Source organism: Homo sapiens, chromosome 11 (genome assembly GCF_000001405.40).
Source record: "Homo sapiens chromosome 11, GRCh38.p14 Primary Assembly".
Lineage (NCBI taxonomy): Eukaryota > Metazoa > Chordata > Mammalia > Primates > Hominidae > Homo > Homo sapiens.
Window position 1 is genome coordinate 27,524,099 of NC_000011.10, and position 20,151 is coordinate 27,544,249.

General features: G+C 37.7%; 1 long non-coding RNA gene across 5 annotated transcripts in view; it reads left to right on the forward strand.

Annotated features, from left to right (window-relative positions):
* The window catches only part of BDNF-AS (BDNF antisense RNA), a 191,320-nt gene that overhangs the window by 17,247 nt on the left and 153,922 nt on the right, over positions 1-20,151 (forward strand). For all 5 annotated transcript variants that reach the window (NR_033312.1, NR_033315.1, NR_033313.1 and 2 more), the window contains exon 2: positions 15,922-16,018. This is a non-coding gene — a long non-coding RNA (BDNF antisense RNA). The remainder of the gene's footprint in view (positions 1-15,921; positions 16,019-20,151) is intronic.

A 20,151-nucleotide genomic window follows, 5' to 3' on the forward strand; every position in this document is an offset into this window, starting at 1 on the left:
CTCACTGCAACCTCTGCCTCCTGGGTTCAAGCGATTCTTCTGCCCAGCCTCCCAAGTAGCTGGGATTACAGGCGTGTGCCACCATGCCTGGCTAATTTTGTATTTTTTTTTTTTTTTAGTAAAGACGGGGTTTCACCATGTTGGGCAGGCTGGTCTTGAACTCCTGACCTCAAGCGAGTCACCCGCCTCTGCCTCCCAGAATTCTGGCATTACAGGCATGAGCCAGCATGCCCAGCCATACTACTCATTTTTAAAAGGCCATCCTGGCTGCTCCGTTGAAAATAAACAATGTGGGAGTAAGGGGGCAGCAGAGAGACCAGCTAGAAGGTTAGTATAGGTCAAAGATGAAGGAGAGAGTGGGATAGACTGGAAGAAAAGTGGTATGTTGAAGGTAGAACATGTTGAAGAATAGGATTTCCAGATGAATTGTACAGAAAGAAAGCAGTCCAGGGTGATCCCTGGATTTTTAATCTGAACCACTGGAGGAATTGGAAGAATAGAGTTGCCTTTAGGTGAGATGGGGAGGACTGAGATCAATAAATTTTGGAGAAGCAGAGATCAGTAGTTTGAATTTTGGATTTGTTAAGTTTGAGTTTTCCATTAAACGAACAGACGAAAACCACAAACAACAACAAAAAAATGAAGATAGCTTCTGATAGCAACATGTGTCATGAAGAAAAGAAAATAGCCATAGAGTGACTGAGGAGGAGTTTCTTAGACAAGCTTGTCAGTGAAAGCGTCTCTGAAGAAGGGGCATTTGAACTGAGTCCTGAATGATGAAATGAGGCCAGCCAAACAAAAATCTGGAAGAAAATCATTTTTAGTTAGAGGGTACTACAAAGATAAAAGCTTGGAGGCAGGAATATCTGAGAGACAGAAAAGCGGCCAATGTGTCTGAAGTGGGTAAGATGGAGAAGCAGATAGGGACCAGTCATACAGTGCCTTGTCAGTCACAGTGAAGGAGTTTGGATGCTATTTTATGCACTGAAGGAAGCCTTTGGGAGGTTTTAAGCTAGACGTAGCATGATCTGATTTATGTATTACAAAGAAAACTCTGGCTCCTGGATGGCGCATGGATTTGTATTATACTAATTATTATTGCTATTATTATTACAGGAGACAAAAGTAGAAGCAAGGAGAGCAATTAGAAGCTTTTACACTAACTGGGCAATACATTATGGTTCTTTCCACTACACAGCTCTTCTTCTCTTGCCTCTAAGTCTTTTCTTGATTTCAACGAATTCCTGGAGTGAGAGAATGTGTATTCTTAGTCTCTGTGCCCTCTGACATGCCCAGCACTATGTCCTGCCCACAGCAGAAGGCTCAGTACTTATTTTTGAGTGAATTATATGGCTCTTCTCATCAAGGCTGAGGAGCACATTTTTAAAAAATATATATTTGTATTTTTTGTACATAGCATATTGTCTGTCCCATAGTTAAGACTCAATGAATGTCTGTTGGAGTGGGGCAAGACCTCACTTCAGATAACCAGTTTACTGAGAGAGATCCTTGGATAGGCAGAGGCAGCAAAGAGGGTTTGGGCCTTGCTAGCATGGAGGGTAGGAGGAAGGCAGGGAAGGTGGAGCATGTTGAGAGAAGAGAGGTGGATAAAGTCACCCAGCTCTGAGCAGGCCAAGGGTAGATTTGGTCTATATTTTAATTTAAGGCTGGCCTGGTTTCATTGATGGTGATATGATCCCTATGTGTGGGAATAGGTGAAATGGTTTGATCACAATGGGACCATAATCCATTACCCAAAGCCTTCATTAAGGAGATAATTCTGTTCAGCCTCACACATAGCCAGGCCTACAGGAATTTGCCATCCAGCACCAATACTGATGCTACAAGTCCCAGCAAACACAGGATGGCAGGCCAAATTCAAGCTTTCTGGCACTCCTCCTCTTCTGGCTGAGCCCGATGTCCTCAGGCCTAATCTCAGGCTGGCAGAGAGTTAAGTGCTGGGCTGAGTCTGTGCTTTGCTGCATGTGCTGGACTTGCATTTGATTCTGTCCAAAAGAGGTCTGTGGACCAGAGGGATGACATTTGGCACCAAGAAAGTAACCCAGGTGTCTGTCTCTTTTTCAGTCCCAAAGCCTTATTCTTTTCCCTCAAGTCTATGCAATCGTTTGGAATCCATCACTCATCACCTAGAGGTTTCAGTGCCTTTAGATTAGGGTTCTGCACCCATAGCTGATGATCCACTGGACTACCACACTTGGCACCTGAACAGAGCCAACAGGACTGGTTACAAATTCGTTGTTAATTACTGTGTGTAATTACACTAGACCCAAGGTTGGAGGGAGACACCCTACTCTGTTGTTGTCTTATATACGAATTCTGTATAATTTTTTAAAAGCCCACCATTTTTACTTTCTAATTAGGATATGGGGATTTGGGGCAGCAACCTTTGTTATTTAATCATGCTTTTTCTGGGGAGGGGAGGAGAGGAAAATATTTTCCTTTTTCTATCAACAATTGCTCTCTTTTCCGCATTAAGAGGGTGGAAACTTGGTTCCTCCCTCATCCCCTTTAGGCAAAGAGTCCATGGCTCAGATTCATAAAGGTTGTTGATTTTGACTTTGGGTTGCCCTACTCTGTTTTTCCCCACCTTTCATGCTAACTAACACAATACATAAGTCTTCCTAGCCAGCACTCCCTAAGGGTGGGGTAGAAACACAGCCCATTAAAAAAATTTTTTTTAAAGCTTTGAGTAATCTCCTTTTTATATTCACCCAAATGAACCAGGTTGGTGGCATATTCTCCTTTGTTTTTACATCTGAGACGTACTTAAAGTTTAAATAGTGCCAGAATGAATCACATTGCTTGTGTTCTTATACCCAGCTGCAAATCATGCCAGGCTCAAGCCCAGGAACACAAGATTGCATGCACGCAGAGAGGGTCACTGCTGTCTTATCTACTCCTGCTCTGCTAAAAAATTGCATTTATTTATTTATTTGTTTTTGAGATGGAGTCTTGCTCTGTTGCCCAGGCTGGAGTGGCAGTGGCATGATTTCAGCTCACTGCAACCTCTGCCTCCTGGGTTCAAGCAATTCTCCTGCCTCAGTCTCCCAAGTAGCTGGGACTACAGGGGGCCTGCCACCATGCCTGGCTAATTTTTTTGTATTTTTAGTAAAGACGGGTTTTCACCATGTTGGCCGGGCTGGTCTGGAACTCCTGACCTCAAGTGATCCACCTGCCCCGGCCTCCCAAAGTGCTGGGATTACAGGCGTGAGCCACCACAGCTGACCAGAAAATTGCATTTATTATATACTGCCCCGTCCCCATCTTGGCATTCTGATATCATTGTTGCCCATCCTTTCCTTCCCATTGAGAGAGTCAACATTTCCCCTTTCCCATCCTATTCTCATTCCTACTTCTAGCTTTACTATCTACTGTATAACCTGCTGAGCCTCAGTTTCCTCAGGAGTAAAATGGAGATAATAAGAAACACCTGCCTTGCCAGTGTCACACAGCTATTGAGGATCAAATGAGATAATGGGATAGGAAAGTGCTTTATTTCTACAAATGCAAGCTATTGTCAGTATCATTTACTTAACTATTCTTCGTTAGCTAGCTACGTAGTCTAGCTTACCTTGTCGTGTTCCAAATGTGGAAGGCTTGCTGTTTCTGGTAAGTTGAGGACCATTTCAAAGCCTCAAGAAAATGATTAGAAATGAACCAATGTGAGAACATTTTCTTTGTTGGGTAGTTCATCCGATTATTATGTATGTTGTTTGTCTTCTTTTAATTTGGATATAGGTTGCCTTCAGCTGCCAGTACTGTGAAATAAGAGACGATATTATAAATCCTTTGGAGATTAAGCATTTCCATCCTAATAGCTGCTGCTCAAAATTTGATTTCCCCTTGATTTTCAATAAAAGGAGGATAACAGAATGTTATTCATTCTAATTATAAAGCAACGGGAATTCTAGGCATTACTTTACAAATAGCTGCTTTCATGTCAGAATAATGAGTGTTGAGAGGAAGAGCTCTGAGCCCTTTACTATATTCTTTGTTTTCATTATTTTTGTACCTGTAAGGAAGATGGACACATTGAGGGACAGAGACTCCACAGAAGTTGTCTGAGTTGTGACAGCTTCTCATCTTCTTTTTCATTTCCGCATTTAACATATTTTCTACAGGCTTTGTAAAGAAAATAACTCAGTCTATGTTTACAATTTTCACACTGGCTTTAACTTATTTTAACTTATTTTATTTTTGGTTGGTGTTCACCCTGGGTTTCTGAGGGTTTTAAGCTGTCTGCAAAAAGCTGCTATCTTTGTCTCCAAAGAATGGTTAAGCCACTTTTGTAGAATCAGAATGTTAGGTGAAGCCCATCTTTACATAGGAAAAAGCAAAAGGAACTAATATTAATTGAATGTTCACTACATGCTGGGTCTCATGCGAGGCTCTTTACACATATCATTTTACATAATCCTCATAGCAGCTCTATATTATATAATATGATCTACATTTTTTTCACAAGTAAAAAAATATTTAAAGGGAGCAAGTTACATCATCAGAGCTTAAAGATACCTGTGCTATACCCCTATAAAAAATCTAATTCACTATGTGTTTTGGTCTATGGCATTTACATTTTTGAAACATTTTATCTTTCCTAAATTGTAGTTACTTCCCCCTACCTTGACAGATAGATATTGTATTGTAAAAATACAATAGAACAAGTATCTTTTAAAAAATATGAAAACAAAACATTTCTAGTCAATTGTTGAACTTCTTTCAAAGTTCTGGGTTAATATCAGGTAGGCCTTTTACTAATGCATTTTATTTCCTTCTGTCTGCCACCAGCTGGAGCTACTGTATAAAAGCCAACCATTTTGAGTTCAAAATATAACTCTGCAATATGAAGGTAGACTACTTTTGCTCCTAAACAATTTGAGAATAAATTGCAAGGAATTAAAGATTGAGAAATGCAATGTCATAGATGGTTAAGTAATTGCTATTGATCACTTACTAGTTATGCAATTTGGGCAAATTATTTTGACTGTGACTCCCAGTTTAGTTAGTTATGAAATGGTTATAACTACCAATCTTGTGGGGATCACTGTAGGGAAAATTAAATGTTAAGAAATTAGTAAGGAGCCTACCACATAGTATGTACTCCACATGTGTTCATTAGTATCATTGGCAGTTATTATTATTCATTTTGTTATCAGTATCACAGCCCCAGGGATGCTCAATTCATTGTAATTACAATTCATATTATTACTCATTATCGTGTGCCTGGCAAATGGCAAGTGCCACTTGACCTCCCATTGCTCAGTGTGTGATTTTTGGGTTTCAGTGTGGTGGACTGTAGGATGGCACCCACACAAAGAGGCATTCTGCTTGGATGTCAAAGGAAAGGAACCTGTGAGAGGCATTTTTGAGGTTGATCGGGTCATTTTGGGTCAGAGCAGTATTTCCCAATATATGTTCTGTAGGATTCTTGTCTCAATGGATCAAATAAGAATGAGAAATATACCATATATATCCCTTTTCCACTTCACGGAGCCACAGTGCATGTAAGTATATTTAAGGCTCTGAAAAATACTGTGAGAATCAACCCTTCTTCTATTTATACCTAATCATAAGTGATTTCTCCATTTTCTCCATGAAATTTTAAAAAGTTGATATGTAATATATAAATTTAGATGAATATAGGTATTCATGATTTCATATTATAGAAAAATATGTTTAGAAATATGGCTTTTAACTCAAATTTTATGTCTTTTTTCCACTTAAATTTTATGAGAAAGACATCAGTGTTTTCCTCCTTATTAGCACCACCTTTGGAGTCATGTAATTTTCTGGAGCACTTACTGGCTCACTGGTTTGAGTCACAGCGGTTTTTAAATGTGTATGATTTGCCACAGTAGATTTTATTTCTAGTTATAAGTATCCGTTTGTATAATACCTGAATTAAAAAATTCATCCTAGTGTATTTTTATAATTGTTATAATAAATGATCTTTAAAAGGTTTTTTTTTTAAAAAAAAAAGCAAGTAAAATTGTGAGGTTGTAATTTCAGAAATAATTGTGAATTTTAGTTAAATTTACTGGCCTTCCATTTAATACTTTTTGTCAGGTAACCTCTACTAATTTGACACCAAAACTAGCATTTATTTGGTTAATATGTTCGCCCTAAATAATACGTGGTTGATAAAGCAATTATAAGAGAGCCCAGTAATACAGGAGCTGCTATAAGAACTGGAATATATGACAATTCTTTCTTTTCTGAGGGATAATTTGAGGAAAAACCTTGTCTCATATCTATATTTACATAACCCAGTGTTGTTTGTGTGTGAATGTGTATATGTGTGCTGAAATACCTGTTTACGTGCTAGAAACACCCTCGTGGTAATGGTGGCATAGTGGGTAATTGTTTTCATCAGGATTTTTCTTGAGAATAGGCTGCTAGCAAGTGCTGTATGTGACAGAAACTTTGGCCAAAAATCTGTATTTATAACTATATCAATTTCTTGTATTTTCTTGTTCATTTTAACTTGCTTTTCCCTCAGAATTTAATCAAGTCTTCAAAAAAAATTATGGCAGAGTCACTCCCATCCCTGAGACACTTGGTCAGGAGCTTTACAGAAGGTTAGATACTCCATTAAGGTTAGAATGGTGGTGGATTGGTGGTTAGACCACAGAAGAACCCCCAGGGGAAGGTAAAGGCCTGGGGATAAAGACATGGCCCTTTTTATTCTGTCATCCTTCTCTCCTTGTAATCTCAGCACTGATGAACCATTAGAATCTCCATGGAAGGTTTTAAAAAAACACATGCTGTCACCTGAGAACATTTAAGTCAGAATGTCTGGGAGTGGACCCCAAGCATTAGTGTCTCTCAAAGTCTTCTTCAGGCTTAAAAGGGTTAAACCTTCTAGACAATCATCAGTCCTTTTGTGTCTTCCTCCTAAAAATTTGAACAGTAGTGACCTATTAGAAGTCAAGAGTTGGATCTAAACTGAGAAAGCATCTGTGCATTGTGCTCTATTTCTTCGTGTAGCTTCTCCCCACTCCCAAGTCACTCCTAATATTTCCATTATAGATTTAGACACAGAAAACCCAGATGAAGAAGCTGCATGCTCCCGATGGGATGGGATGATATTGGTAATGGGAAGTCTCATTTCTGAATTGAATTTGAGTGCTGGGAAAGCATATTGGCTAATGTTTCAGTCCTTTGGTTGAATTTGTGTCTTTGACAACAAATGCTTGTGGTTGAAGTTATACAATTCTCATCTCTTTCCATTTCCCCTCACTGGGGCAGGCTTCCTCTGTGTATTTTTTTCCTCTGATGGGAAAGAGCATCTGCAGCTACTTTTCTTCTCAGCCAATAGACTACCTTCTTGTGAGTTATAAAGAGGATAATATGTGAATCAGAAGCCAAGACTAGAACCCTTCTCCTATGGACATGGTCTATTCAGGAGGCAATTTTAGAGATAAAAATCAGGAACACCAGTTCAATAATAATAATAATACCTTAGAAGTTAACATACCTTTTAAAACACTTTCATATTTGTCCCTTTTCTCTTGAACATTCCAAAGAGATTGACAGGACAAATACCAATCGCCTCATTTTAAGATTAAGAAACGCAGATGCTGTGAAGATAACTCAGTTCCCCATGATAACATGGACAGGGACAGAGGTCGGACTAATAACTGGTTCTTCAGTAATTACTCACCTTGAGCAGCTCTGAAGGTCATAGAGTAGACCAGTGAGTGGTTCCCAAACTTGGCTGCTTACTAGAATGGCATGGGAGGATTATAAAATAACACAATTATGCCAACTTGCCTCTGGGGCTCTAATTCAATACACCTGGGATGGGGCTCAGGGAATCTGTCATTTAAAATAATTTCTTCATAGTTGTTCTCAATTTTGACTAAATATTAGAATTACCTGGCAGGGAGGGGCTTTAGAAAATCCCACTGGAGAATCACTTGAGCCCAGGAGGTTGAGGCTGCAGTGAGCTGTGATCATGCTGCTGCACTTCAGCCTGGGTGACAGAGTGAGACTCTGTTTAAAAAACAAACAACAGCAACAACAAAAAACATTTCCCAGATTGTATTCCAGACAAATTAAGTTAGAATTTCTAGTGCTGGGACCCAGGCATCAGAGGGTTTGTAAGTATCTCCAGGTGATTCCAATGTGGAACTAAGGTTGAGAAACACTGCTATAGACTAGAGCTTTACAAACTCTGTTTTTCAGAATTTCAGCACAGCAAGAAGGAAAAGACAAGTGTAGAATTGTCACATGTCTGGAGTAAGAAGACCAGGATTCAAGTCCTGGCTCTGCCTCTTGGGAATGTCACTTCATCTCTCTGAGCCTCAGTTTTTTATTTCATAAAATGAGGAAAATGAGCAGTACATACCTCTCAGGGAGGCCATGAGGGTTAGATGGGATATTGCAGGTGGAATAACCAAGCACCAGCTATTCCTGCTGTTTTCCAAAGAACTCCATTAAGATTGTGTGTGTGTGTGTGTGTGCGTGTGTGTGTGTTTCCCCCTAGATGTTCCCTTTGTGTTCAAAGTTTCCACCCTCAACCTTACACAGAGTTAGACTTGTAGGGCATGAAACAGAGCTCCAAAAGTTTCCACTAATGAAATAAGGTTTGGAAATTAAAGGAATGTCGTTAAGGCTTCTTTTTGCTGTTGCTATTGGCATGTTCAGCCCTCTGAACCTTGGAGTTATGAATCTGCCAGTTTGCTAAATGCATACTCAGAAGGGCAATTTCGTTTTCAGAATACAAGGACACTTTAGCTATTACTACTCACCCTCCCCATTGCTCCTTTCTAGCTCTTTGAGCTCCCCTGAATGTGCCCCCAAGCACCTCTTGTTTATTCCCATTCAGCAAATTAAGGAAGGTTCTAGTATGCGTTTCTTATGCAGCAAATGCTGAGTTCACTGGAACTCAGGCCTGCTGGAGAACAAATTAACCCATACTATAAACACCCACTCTCTTGCCTGACAATTTGCACTGGTTAGAACAGAACCTTCTAATATTAGGAATGGTGGTGTGAGGATCATTTCATAACCACAAACACAGCAAAAGCAATCATGAAATTATGGATGACTCATTGTCAAAGGAACACTTGGATCATTTTGAGCAACCCCCTAGGTTGATCAAATGAGGAAACTTCTGCACCAAACTCACACCGTGCCATTAGTCTTCTCTGTAATTGATTGTTATTGCCAGATTTGTCTCAACCACATCAGACCTATTTTTAAACCTCTCATAATTGCCTTCTCACTAAGTAAAATATTGTTTTTTGAGCACCTTTCTTTTATTTCATATGTGTCTATTTGTTTCTTTCTTAAACTGGACAGTGCATTGAGAACAGAGATTATTTCTTATTTATCCTAAATAAAATAGTACCTGGTGCACAGTAGGTTCTAGTACATAAATGTTAAATGTACCATAAATTGTACATTCTTTCCCAATGAAAGAGGTTGTTTCTAACAAGCTAAGGAAACTAAGATTTGCTTTGTATACCACTTTCTCTAGGGTTCCATGAACAAATAAATTTTGCCATGATATATACACATATATATTTTAGAGAAAGAAAGGAGCGGGGAGGAAAAGGGAATGGAGAGGAGGGGAAGGGAGGAGAGAGGAACAAAAGGAAGGGTGAGAGAGAGATAATACTAAGTTCTTGATACTATTTAAGGTGTTGGGATACAAAAATGAACAAAACTGCCCAAAATACTTGCTCTCAGAGTTTCCACTCTTGCGTGTTTATGTGTGTGTGTGTGTGTGTGCATGCATGTAATGAGGAAACAGACAAAAAACAAAAAAGTAAGTACAATATAATAGTGTTAGATCATGATCAATGCTGTAGAGAAAAATAAGTTAGAGTAAGGGAATAGAGAGTGCTGGATGGAGTGGGCTATTGGATTTTAAAATGGAGTAGACAGGGAAGGCCTCGCTGTGAAGATGAAACTTGAGCAAAGACTTGGAGGTGAGGCTGAGAGTCTTGAAGCTATTTGGGTGAAGAATATTCCAGGTGGGAGGAATAGGAAGTGTAAAGTCTCTGAGGTGAGACAGAAATTCAGGAGTTTCCAGGATGACGCAGGCAGTTGGCCTGGAGTGGAGCAGTGCAGGTTAGAGTGTAGGATAAGAGATCACGGGAGTGGCTGGACAGCTGAGTGGCAGTGTTGGGAGAGCTTTGGAGGGACCTGTCATTGTAAAGACCAGCCTTTACTCTGACTGAGATGGGAAACCATTGAAGAATTTGATTTGATTTAAGGTTGAAAGGGTTATTTTTGCTGCCAGGATAAAAATGGTGGGTGGGAAGGTAAAGAGGGAAACAAGAAAATCAGTTAGGAAATTATGGTAATAAGACAGGTGTCTCAGACCATGATGATAGAAGAGGAAGTAGTGTATGTTAAAGAATCTGAATAGATGTTGAAGATAGAACTAATAGAATTAACCCTCAGATTGATCATGAATCATGGGAAAGAGTGAAAAATTATCCCAAGTTGTTTGATCTGAATAGCTCAGTGGATGGATGGAGTTGCCAGTAATTGAGAAAGGGATTCCTAAAGAAGAGGTTTTGAGGTAAAGGGGAAGATGATCTATCTGTCTCTTTCTCTTTCTCTAGCTATTTATCTACTTATCTATCTATGTATCTGTCTAGCTGTCTACATACTTACCTGTCTGTGTCTATCTATCTATCTATCTATCTATCTAATCAGATGTTTTATATATGAGGTATTAAAACTCAAGATGTTAGGTATCTGGCTGAAGATCTCATAGCTAACATGGGTGATGCTGAGTTTGAAGTGAAGTATTCCTGTATAGACTTCAAAATCCCTAGTTTCCCTACCCTACCAGACCTTTTTCATATATCATTGCTTTTAATCTTCACAACAGCTTTTATCCACACTTTAAAATTATAAAACCTAAAGTTTAGAGAGTTTACACAACTGGCCTAAGTCATGCAGCTAGTGAGACAGCAGAGATTCAAACTTGGTCTCTGACTCCAAAATTCATATTCTTTTTTTTTCACTTTTATTTTAGGTTCAGGGGTACATGTGCAGGTTTGTTATATAGGTAAATTGCATGTCACAGGGATTTGGCGTGCAGATTATTTTGTCATCAAGCATAGCACCAAATAGGTAGTTTTTTATTCTTACCCGCTTCCCACTCTCTACCCTCAAGTAGGCCCCAGTGTCTGTTGTTGCCTTTTTTGTGTCTATATATACTCAAGTGTTCAGCTCCCACTTAGAAGTGAGAACATGCTATTTGATTTTCTGTTCTTGTGTTAGTTTGCTTATGATAAAGGCCTCCAGCTCCATCCATATTACACTATAAAAGACAAGATATTGTTCTTTTTATGGCTACATAGTATTCCATGGTATATATGTACCATATTTTCTTTATCCATTCTACTATTGCTGGGCATTTAGGTTTATTCCATGTCTTTGCTATTGTGAATAGTGCCACAATGAACATATACATGCATGTGTCTTTATGGTAGAACAATTTACATTCCTTCAGGTATATAATTAATAATGGGATTTGCTGGGTCAAGTGGTAATTTTGTTTTAAGTTCTTTGAGAAATTGCCAAACTGCTTTCCATATGGCTGAACTAATTTACATTCCCACCGGCAGTGTATAAGCATTCCCTTCTCTTTACAACCTCGTCAGCATCTGTTATTTTTTGACTTTTTAATCATAGCCATTCTGACTGGGTGAGATGGTATCTCACTGTGGTTTTGAATTGCATTTCTCTAATGATTAGTGATGTTGAGCCTTTTTTCACGTGCTTGTTGACTGCATTTATGTCTTCTTTTGAAAAGTGTCTATTCGTGTTCTTTGCCCACTCTGTGGGCTTTTTGTTTGTGGGGTTGTTTTTTGCTTGTAAATTTGTTTGAGTTCCTTATAGATTCTGGACTTTATTGTCAGATGCATAGTTTGTAAATATTTTCTCCCATTCTGTAGGTTGTCTGTTTACTCTGTTGATAGTTTCTTTTGCTGTGCAGAAAGTTTTTAGTTTAATTAGGTTCCATTTGTCAATTTTTGCTTTCATTGTTATTGCTTTTGGCATTTTCATCATGAAATCTTTGTCTGCTCCTATGTCCAGAATAGTGTTGCCTAGGTTATCTTCCAGGGTTTTTATAGTTTTGAGTTTTACATTTAAGTCTTTAATCCGTCTTGAGTTTTTGTGTATGGTGTAAGGAAGGGGTCTAATTTCAAACTTCTGCATGTGACTAGCCAGTTATCACAGCACCATTTACTGAATAGGGAGTCCTTTCCTCATTACTTGTTTTTGTTGATTTTGTCAAAGATCAGATAGTTCTAGGTGTGTGGCATAGTTTATGGGTTCTCTATTCCGTTCCATTTGTCTATATGTCTGTTTTTGTACCAGTACCATGCTATTTTGGTTACTGTAGGCTTGTAGTATAATTTGAAGTTACGTAGTGTGATGCTTGTTGTTTTGTTCTTTTTGCTTAGGATTGCTTTGGTTATTTGGGCTCCTTTTTGGTTCCGTATGGATTTTAGAATAGTTTTTCTCATTCTGTGAAGAATGTCATTGGTAGTTTATAGGAATAGCATTGAATCTATAAATTGCTTCGGGCAGCATGGCCATTTTTATGATATTGATTCTTCCTATCCATAAGCATGGAATGTTTTTCCATTTATTTGAATAAGCTCTCATTTCTTTGAGCAGTGTTTTGTAGTTCTCCTTGTAGAGATCTTTCACCTCCCTGGTTAGCTGTATTCCTAGGTGTTTATTCTTTTTATGCCTGTTGTGAATGGAACTGCATTCTTCATTTGGCTTTCAGTTTAGATTTTCTTGGTGTATAGGAATGCTACTGATTTTTGTACATTGATTTTGTATCCTGAAACTTTGCTGAAGTTGTTTATCAGATCTAGGAGCTTTTGGGCAGAGACTATGAGGTTTTCTAGGTATAGAATCATATTGTCTGCAAACAGAAATAGTTTGACTTCCTCTCTTTCTATTTGGATGCCTTCTTTCTTTCTTTCTTTTTTTTTTTTTTTAAAAGAGTTTCACTCTTGTTGCCCAGGCTGAAGTGCAGTGGTGCAATCTCAGCTCACTGTAACCCCCACCTCCCAGCTACAAGCGATTCTCCTGCCTCAGCCTCCCAAGTAGCTGAGATTACAGGCATGTACCACCAGGCCCAGCTAATTTTGTAAATTTTTAGTAGGGATTGGGTTTCACCATGTTGGTCAGGCTGGTCTCGAGCTCCTGACCTCAAGTGATCCACCCATCTCGGCCTCCCAAAGTGTTGGGATTACATTTGTGAGCCACTGCGCCTGACCTGGATTCCTTTTATTTCTTTCTGTTGCCTGATTGTTCTGGTTAGGACTTCCACTACTATGTTGAATAGGAGTAATGAGAGAGGGCATCCTTGTCTTGTTCAAATTTTCAGGGGGTTTGCTTCCAGCTTTTGCCTATTCAGTATGATATTGGCTTGGATTTTTCATAGCTGACTCTTACTATTTTTATGTATGTTCCTCCAATGCTTAATTTGTTGAGGGATTATAACATGAAGAGATGTTGAATTTTATTGAAAGCCTTTTCTGTATTTATTGAGACGATCATGTGGTTTCTGTTTTTAGTTCTGTTTATATAGTGGATCACATTTATTGATTTGCATATGTTGAACCAACCTTGCATCCCAGAGATAAGGCCTACTTGATTGTGGTGGATTAGCTTTTTGATGTGTTGCTGGGTTTGCTTTGCCAGTATTTTGTTGAGGATTTTTGCATCTATTTCCATTAAGGATATTGGCCTGAAGTTTTCCTTTTTAGTTGTGTCTCTGCCAGGTTTGGGTATCAGGATGATACTGACTTCACTTAGAGAGGAGTCCCTCCTCCTCAATTTTTTGGAATAGTTTCAGTAGGAATGGTACCAGTTCTTCTTCATACATCTGGTAGAATTTGGCTGTGAATCTGGTCCTGGGCTTTTTCTGGTTGGTTGGCTTTCTTTCTACGAAACTATCCTCCCTATTATTTATGCCTTGCAAAAAGGTGGTAAAGATTAAATGTATGTAACATACCCAGCATATACAACGTCTGGTGCATAGTATATTTAAATTAAAGGATAGCTATTAGAGATTAATATAGATTTCATTTGTGTATATTGTGCTTCTACCTAAGGGAACTATAAATTCATTAAAATACGGGACTTAAAATAATTATTTAGTGGCCTCAAGGACATCATAAATATTTATTATTTATTGAGTATGTACAACTACTATATTTCCATAATAATTAGAAATAATAACTTTTTAAAAAACAAAGATGATAGCAACCACAAAAAACATTTATTGAGTGAATCACGTTGGGTACAAATGAGTATATTGTAAAAAGTATACCATCAACACACTGACAATCTTTATCAGTATTTCCTAGTAGAAGAAACATGAAAGTCGGAGCAGGTAGGACTAAAGAATGCTAGTGTACACAGGACCATCAGATGCCTTTTAGTAGAAGAGGTCTAGAGCCTTGCGGAAGAGCTTCCCACCCTGTACAGAGAATGTGTTGCCTGTTCTTTGCTTTCTGAAAACTCTTGCCTATTATCACTCTGTGATTAATTCTGCACTAGGCTGTCTAGAGCTTTCACATTTGGGATCATTTTATCCCCGTCTCTCAAATAAGTTCATGGGTTCATTATGTCGCACATATCTTATCTTACATGCAAATGTAAATCTGTTGCACCCTTAACTCACAGGTCTGAGTATTTTTTCTACCACACAAAGTTTTTTGCAAAAATTAAAAAAATTGATAACATTAAATGGTTACCTGAGAAAAGAAGAAAGTCCTCAAACCCTTCACTTTAAACAACTAGAAAAATAAAACTAAAATAAACCCAAACAAGCAGATGGAAGAATATAACAAAGACAAGAGCAGAGAGCAATTAAATTAAAACCAGAAAAACAATAGAAAAAAATAAATAAAAACAAAAGCTGATTTTTTGACATTAATGACATTAGCAAAACTGACCAAAAAAAGAGATAAGCCATAAATTATTAATATCAAGAATGAAAGAGGGGGTATCATTACAGATCCCATAAACACTAAACAGATAATAAAGGAATACTAAGAACAACTCTATAGACATAGATTTGAAAACCTAGATGAAATTAAATTAAAATTATATTAGTGAACTGAACTTTCAGTTAAAAGTTTCCAAAAAAGCAACCTTCTAGCTCAGATGGTTACACTGGCAAATTCTACCAATTATTTGTGGAAAATTAATACCAATTCCATACAATCTCTTCCAGAAATAAGAAGAGAACACTCTCAATTTATGAGGCCAGCATTACCCTGATGCAAAAGACAGCGTAAGAAAAAAATCTTTTAAACACAACCAAATATACCTAATTAACATAAATGTAAAAATCTTCAGTAAAATATTAACCAGCTGAATTCTTAAACATATAAAAACAATAATAATACACCATGACCAAGTAGAGATTGTAGGGGGAATATAAGACTGGCTCAATACTGGAAAATTTTTCATTGTAGTACACCATATTAACAGTCTAAAGAAGAAAAATCACATGATCATATCAATTGTTGCAGGAAAAGTATTTGACAAAATTCAACATTCATTCGTGATAAAGACTCTCTGCAAACTAGAAATAAAAACTTTCTCAACCTAATAAAAGGCATACAGAAAAGCTAACATTATACTTAATGGTGAAAGATGAATGCTTTTTCCCTCAATTTAGGAATAAGGCAAGGATATTGATACTTTTTGTCTCTGTGTCCCCACCTAAATCTCACCTTGAATTGTAGTTCCCATAATCCCCATGTATCATGGGAGGGACCCAGTGGGAGGTAATTTAATCATGGAGGTGTTTACCCTCATGTTGTTCTTGTGATAGGGAGTGAGTTCTCATGAGATCTGATGGTTTTATATGGCGATTTTTTCCCTTTTGCTCAGCACTTCTCCTTCCTGCCCTTGTATGAAGAAGGATGTGTTTGCTTCCCCTTGTGCCATGATTGTAAATTTCCTGAGGCCTCCTCAGCCCTGCAGAACTGTGAGTCAATTAAACTTCTTTCCTTTATAAATTACCCAGTCTTGGGTATGTTTTTATTAGCAGCATGAGAACAGACTAATACAGATATCTACTCCCATCATTCAACAAACATTTTACTGGGTGCCCTATCCAGTTAATAAAGTTAGGAAATTAAATAAAAGGCATGCAGATTTTCAGATGATATGATTGTCTATGCCAAAAATTTCAAGGAATTCATAAGCAAATTCCAAGTACTAAAAAGTGAGTTTAATGAGATTACAGGGTACAGGGTTCAACACACAAGAATCAAATGTATTTCTTTATACTAGCAATGAATAATTGGCAACTAAACATTTTTAAAAAATTTACATTAGCTCCAAAAAATGAAACACATAGGTGTAAGTGAAACAAAGCATGAACAGGGTCTGTATGCTGAAAATTACAAAAACTTAGTGAAATAAAGCAAAAAAGACCTAAATAAATGGAGAGATACACAGTTTTATGGATTGAAAGAATTAACATAGAAAAAATGTAACTCAGCTGGGCGCAGTGGCTCATGCCTGTAATCCCAGCACTTTGGGAGGCTGAGGCGGATGGATCACCTGAGCTCGGGAGTTCGAGACCACCCTGACCAACATAGAGAAACCCTGTCTCTACTAAAAATACAAAATTAGCCAGGCATGGTGGCTCATGCCTGTAATCCCAGCTACGGAGGCTGAGGCAGGAGAATCACTTGAACCCGGGAGGCAGAGGTTGCAGTGAGCTGAGACTGTGCCATTTCACTCCAGCCTGGACAACAAGAGCGAAACTCAGTCTCAAAAAAAAAAAAAGAAAGAAAAGAAAATATGTAACTCTGCACAAATTGATCTATAGATTTAATGCAATTCCAAGCAAACCTCAGGAGTATTTTTACAGATCCAGACAAGCTGATTCTAAAATTTATATGGAAAGTCAAGGGAACTGTAATAACCAAAACAATTTTGAAGCAGACTAGTAAAGTTGGAGAAATCACACTATCAGATTTTAAGATTTAATATAAAGCTGTAGCAATCAATTCAGTGTGATATTGGCAAAAGGATAGACATAGATCAGTGGAACAGAGAAGCCAGAAGCAGACCCACACAAATATATTCTAGTTATTTTTCAGAAAGTTGCAAAAGCAATTTCATAAAGGAATGATAGCCATTCAACAAATGGTGTTGGAACAGCCAGACAATCATGGGCAAAAAAATGAACCTTCATCTTAATTTCAAATCTTACATAAGAATTAACTAAAAGATTTACATGTAAAATACAAAATTATACAAATTTAAAGGAAAAAATTTAGGAGAAAAACTGGCCCAGAGTTAGACAAAGAGTTATTAGACATGATACCAAGAGCACAATCATGAAAGAAAAGATTTATGTATTGGATTTCAACAAAATGAAAACTTTTGCTCTATCAAAGACACTGTATAAGAATGAAAAGACAGGCTACAGACTGGGATAAAATATTTGCAAATCACATATCCAATAAAGGACTTGTATCTGGAACACAAAAAAACTCTCATAACCCAACCATAAGAAAATAAACTACCCACATTAAAGAAAGTACTGCGTTCATCAACTAGAAGTCTCAATATAGTAAAGATTTAGTTCTCCTCAAATTGATTCATAGATTCAACTCAATTCAAATCAAAATCCCAACAGGACTTTTTGTAGGTATATAAAGCTGATTCTGGAATTTATATGAAAAGACCGTATAGCATAGGGACAATAGTTAAAAATACTGTATTGTATACTTGCAATCTGCTAAGAAGATAGATCTTAAATCTCCTCACTATACACATACACAAATAGTAACTGTAGAGGTAATAGATGTGTTCATTATGGGGAATGTGGTCATTATTTCGCAATGTATACATATATCAGAACATCAAGTTGTATACCTTAAATATATGCTATTTTTTCATGTCAGTGATAGTTCAATAAAACTGTTGAAAAGTAGAAAATAAAAATAGGTTATGTGAAAGACAAAGGAACTAAAATATGACAAACAATTTGGGCAAAAGGAATGCAAATAAGCAAATTAACAAATGTTAATTTGCTATTCAGAAAATGAAAGTTAAAACCACCATGAGGTACCATGGCACATCTATTAGAATAGCTGAAATAAAAAAATATTGACAAGGGCTGGTAGGGATGTGGAGCAACTGGAACTTGTATACATTGCTGGTAGCAAAATGAAAAACAGCCACTCTGGATAACAGTTTGGCAGTCTCTTGTAAAACTAAACAAACACTTTCCATATGACCCAGCAGTCCCATTTCTAGGTACTTGCCTTAAATAAATGAAAACATGTTCACACAAAAACCTGTACATGAATGTTTATAGCAGCTCTATTCATAATCACCCAAAATGGAAATACCTAAATGTCTTTCAACAAGTGAATGTATAAACAATCTCTGTTACATTTATCCAACGGAATACTACTCAGCAATAAAAGGAACAAACTATTTGTTTACAAAACAACTTGGATGATTCTGAAAGGTATTATAGTAGTTGGAAGAAGCCAGTTTCATGAGGCTGCATACGTATAATTAGTTCCATTCATATGCCATTTTCTAAAAGACAGAACTGTAATGATAGGGAAAAGATCAGTCATTTCCAGGGATTAGGAATAGAGAGAGGATATGACTACAAAAGGGATAACAAGAGAATTTATCTTTTGGTTATATGGAACTCTTCTGTATCATTATTGTGGAGGTAGTTACAGAAACCTATATATGTGTTAAACTCTAAAACTGGACACAAAAACATCAGTTACATTGTATGGTAATCTAAAAATAAAATATTTACTTGAACTTTTGGTGCTGAAGAACTTGATTTGTGTCTTAAAATCAGACTTTCCAAATTTTGGTTTCATTTGCTCCCTGGGTTGTCTGTATTCATCTATCACCAGCAGAGAGACAGAGAGAGAAAGAGGGAGAAAGAAAGTTGATTAGTTTATATACTTATACACACTAATGAAGTTGGAAAAACTTTGGGTGAAATATAATGATTTTGTGGGATGATTTATGCATTAAGGTATATGTGGAATATTTCTGGTAGAGATATTTGTTATAGATGTATCTAAAATTCAAGTAAGGGTGGGGAATTTTATTTAGAAAGTAAGAGATGTAGATGTAGATGAAAGAGAATACATAGGGCGAGAAAAAAAACTGAGAATAGAACTCAAGGATACTAATATTTGAGGGAAAATGAGAAAAGGAACTCATAAAGGAACTCATGAGTGTAGGAGGAGAAACAGGGCATTGAAGAAAAGAAAAAGGCCATGGAGGCTATAATAGTTCATTCTCACACTGCTATGAAGAACTACCCGAGACTGGGTAAATTATAAAGGAAAGAGGTTTAATTGACTCACAGTTCCACAGGGCTGGGGAGGCCTGTGGAAACTTACAATCATAGCAGAAAAGGAAGCAAACACATCCTTCTTCACATGGTAGCAGGAAGGAGAAGAATGAGAGCCAAGCAATGGGGGATACCCTTATAAAACCATCAGATCTCCTGAGAACTTACTTTCAGGAGAATACCATGGAGAAGCTGCCCCTATGACTAAATTACCTCCAACCGGGCCCCTCCCACCAGACGTGGGGATTATAGGAACTATAATTCAAGATGAGATTTGGATGGGGACACATATCAGAGGCCAAGAAAGTTGAGAAAGAAGAGGCAGCACTCTCCAATGGCATGGAGAAGTTGAGTAAGATGAGGTTTGAAAAGTCTCAGTGTGTTTGTCCAATAGAACAGCAGTTCTCAACCTTTTTGGCACCAAGGACCGGTTTTGTGGAATATAATTTTTTCATGGAGGTGAGGGGATGGGATGGTTTGGGGATGAAACTGTTCTGCCTCAGATCATCAGGCATTATTTAGATTCTCAGAAGGAATGGACAACCTAGATCTCCCACATGCACATTTCACAATAGAGTTCACACTCCTATGAGAATCTAATGCCCAGCTGATCTGACAGGAGGCAGAGCTCAGGCAGTAATGCTCGCTGGCCCACTGCTCACCTCATGCTGTGCATCTCAATTTTTAACAGGCCATGGACCAGTATCTGTCAGTGTCCCAGTGGTTGGGGACCCCTGCTCTAGAAGGTCATCGGTAATGTTGCA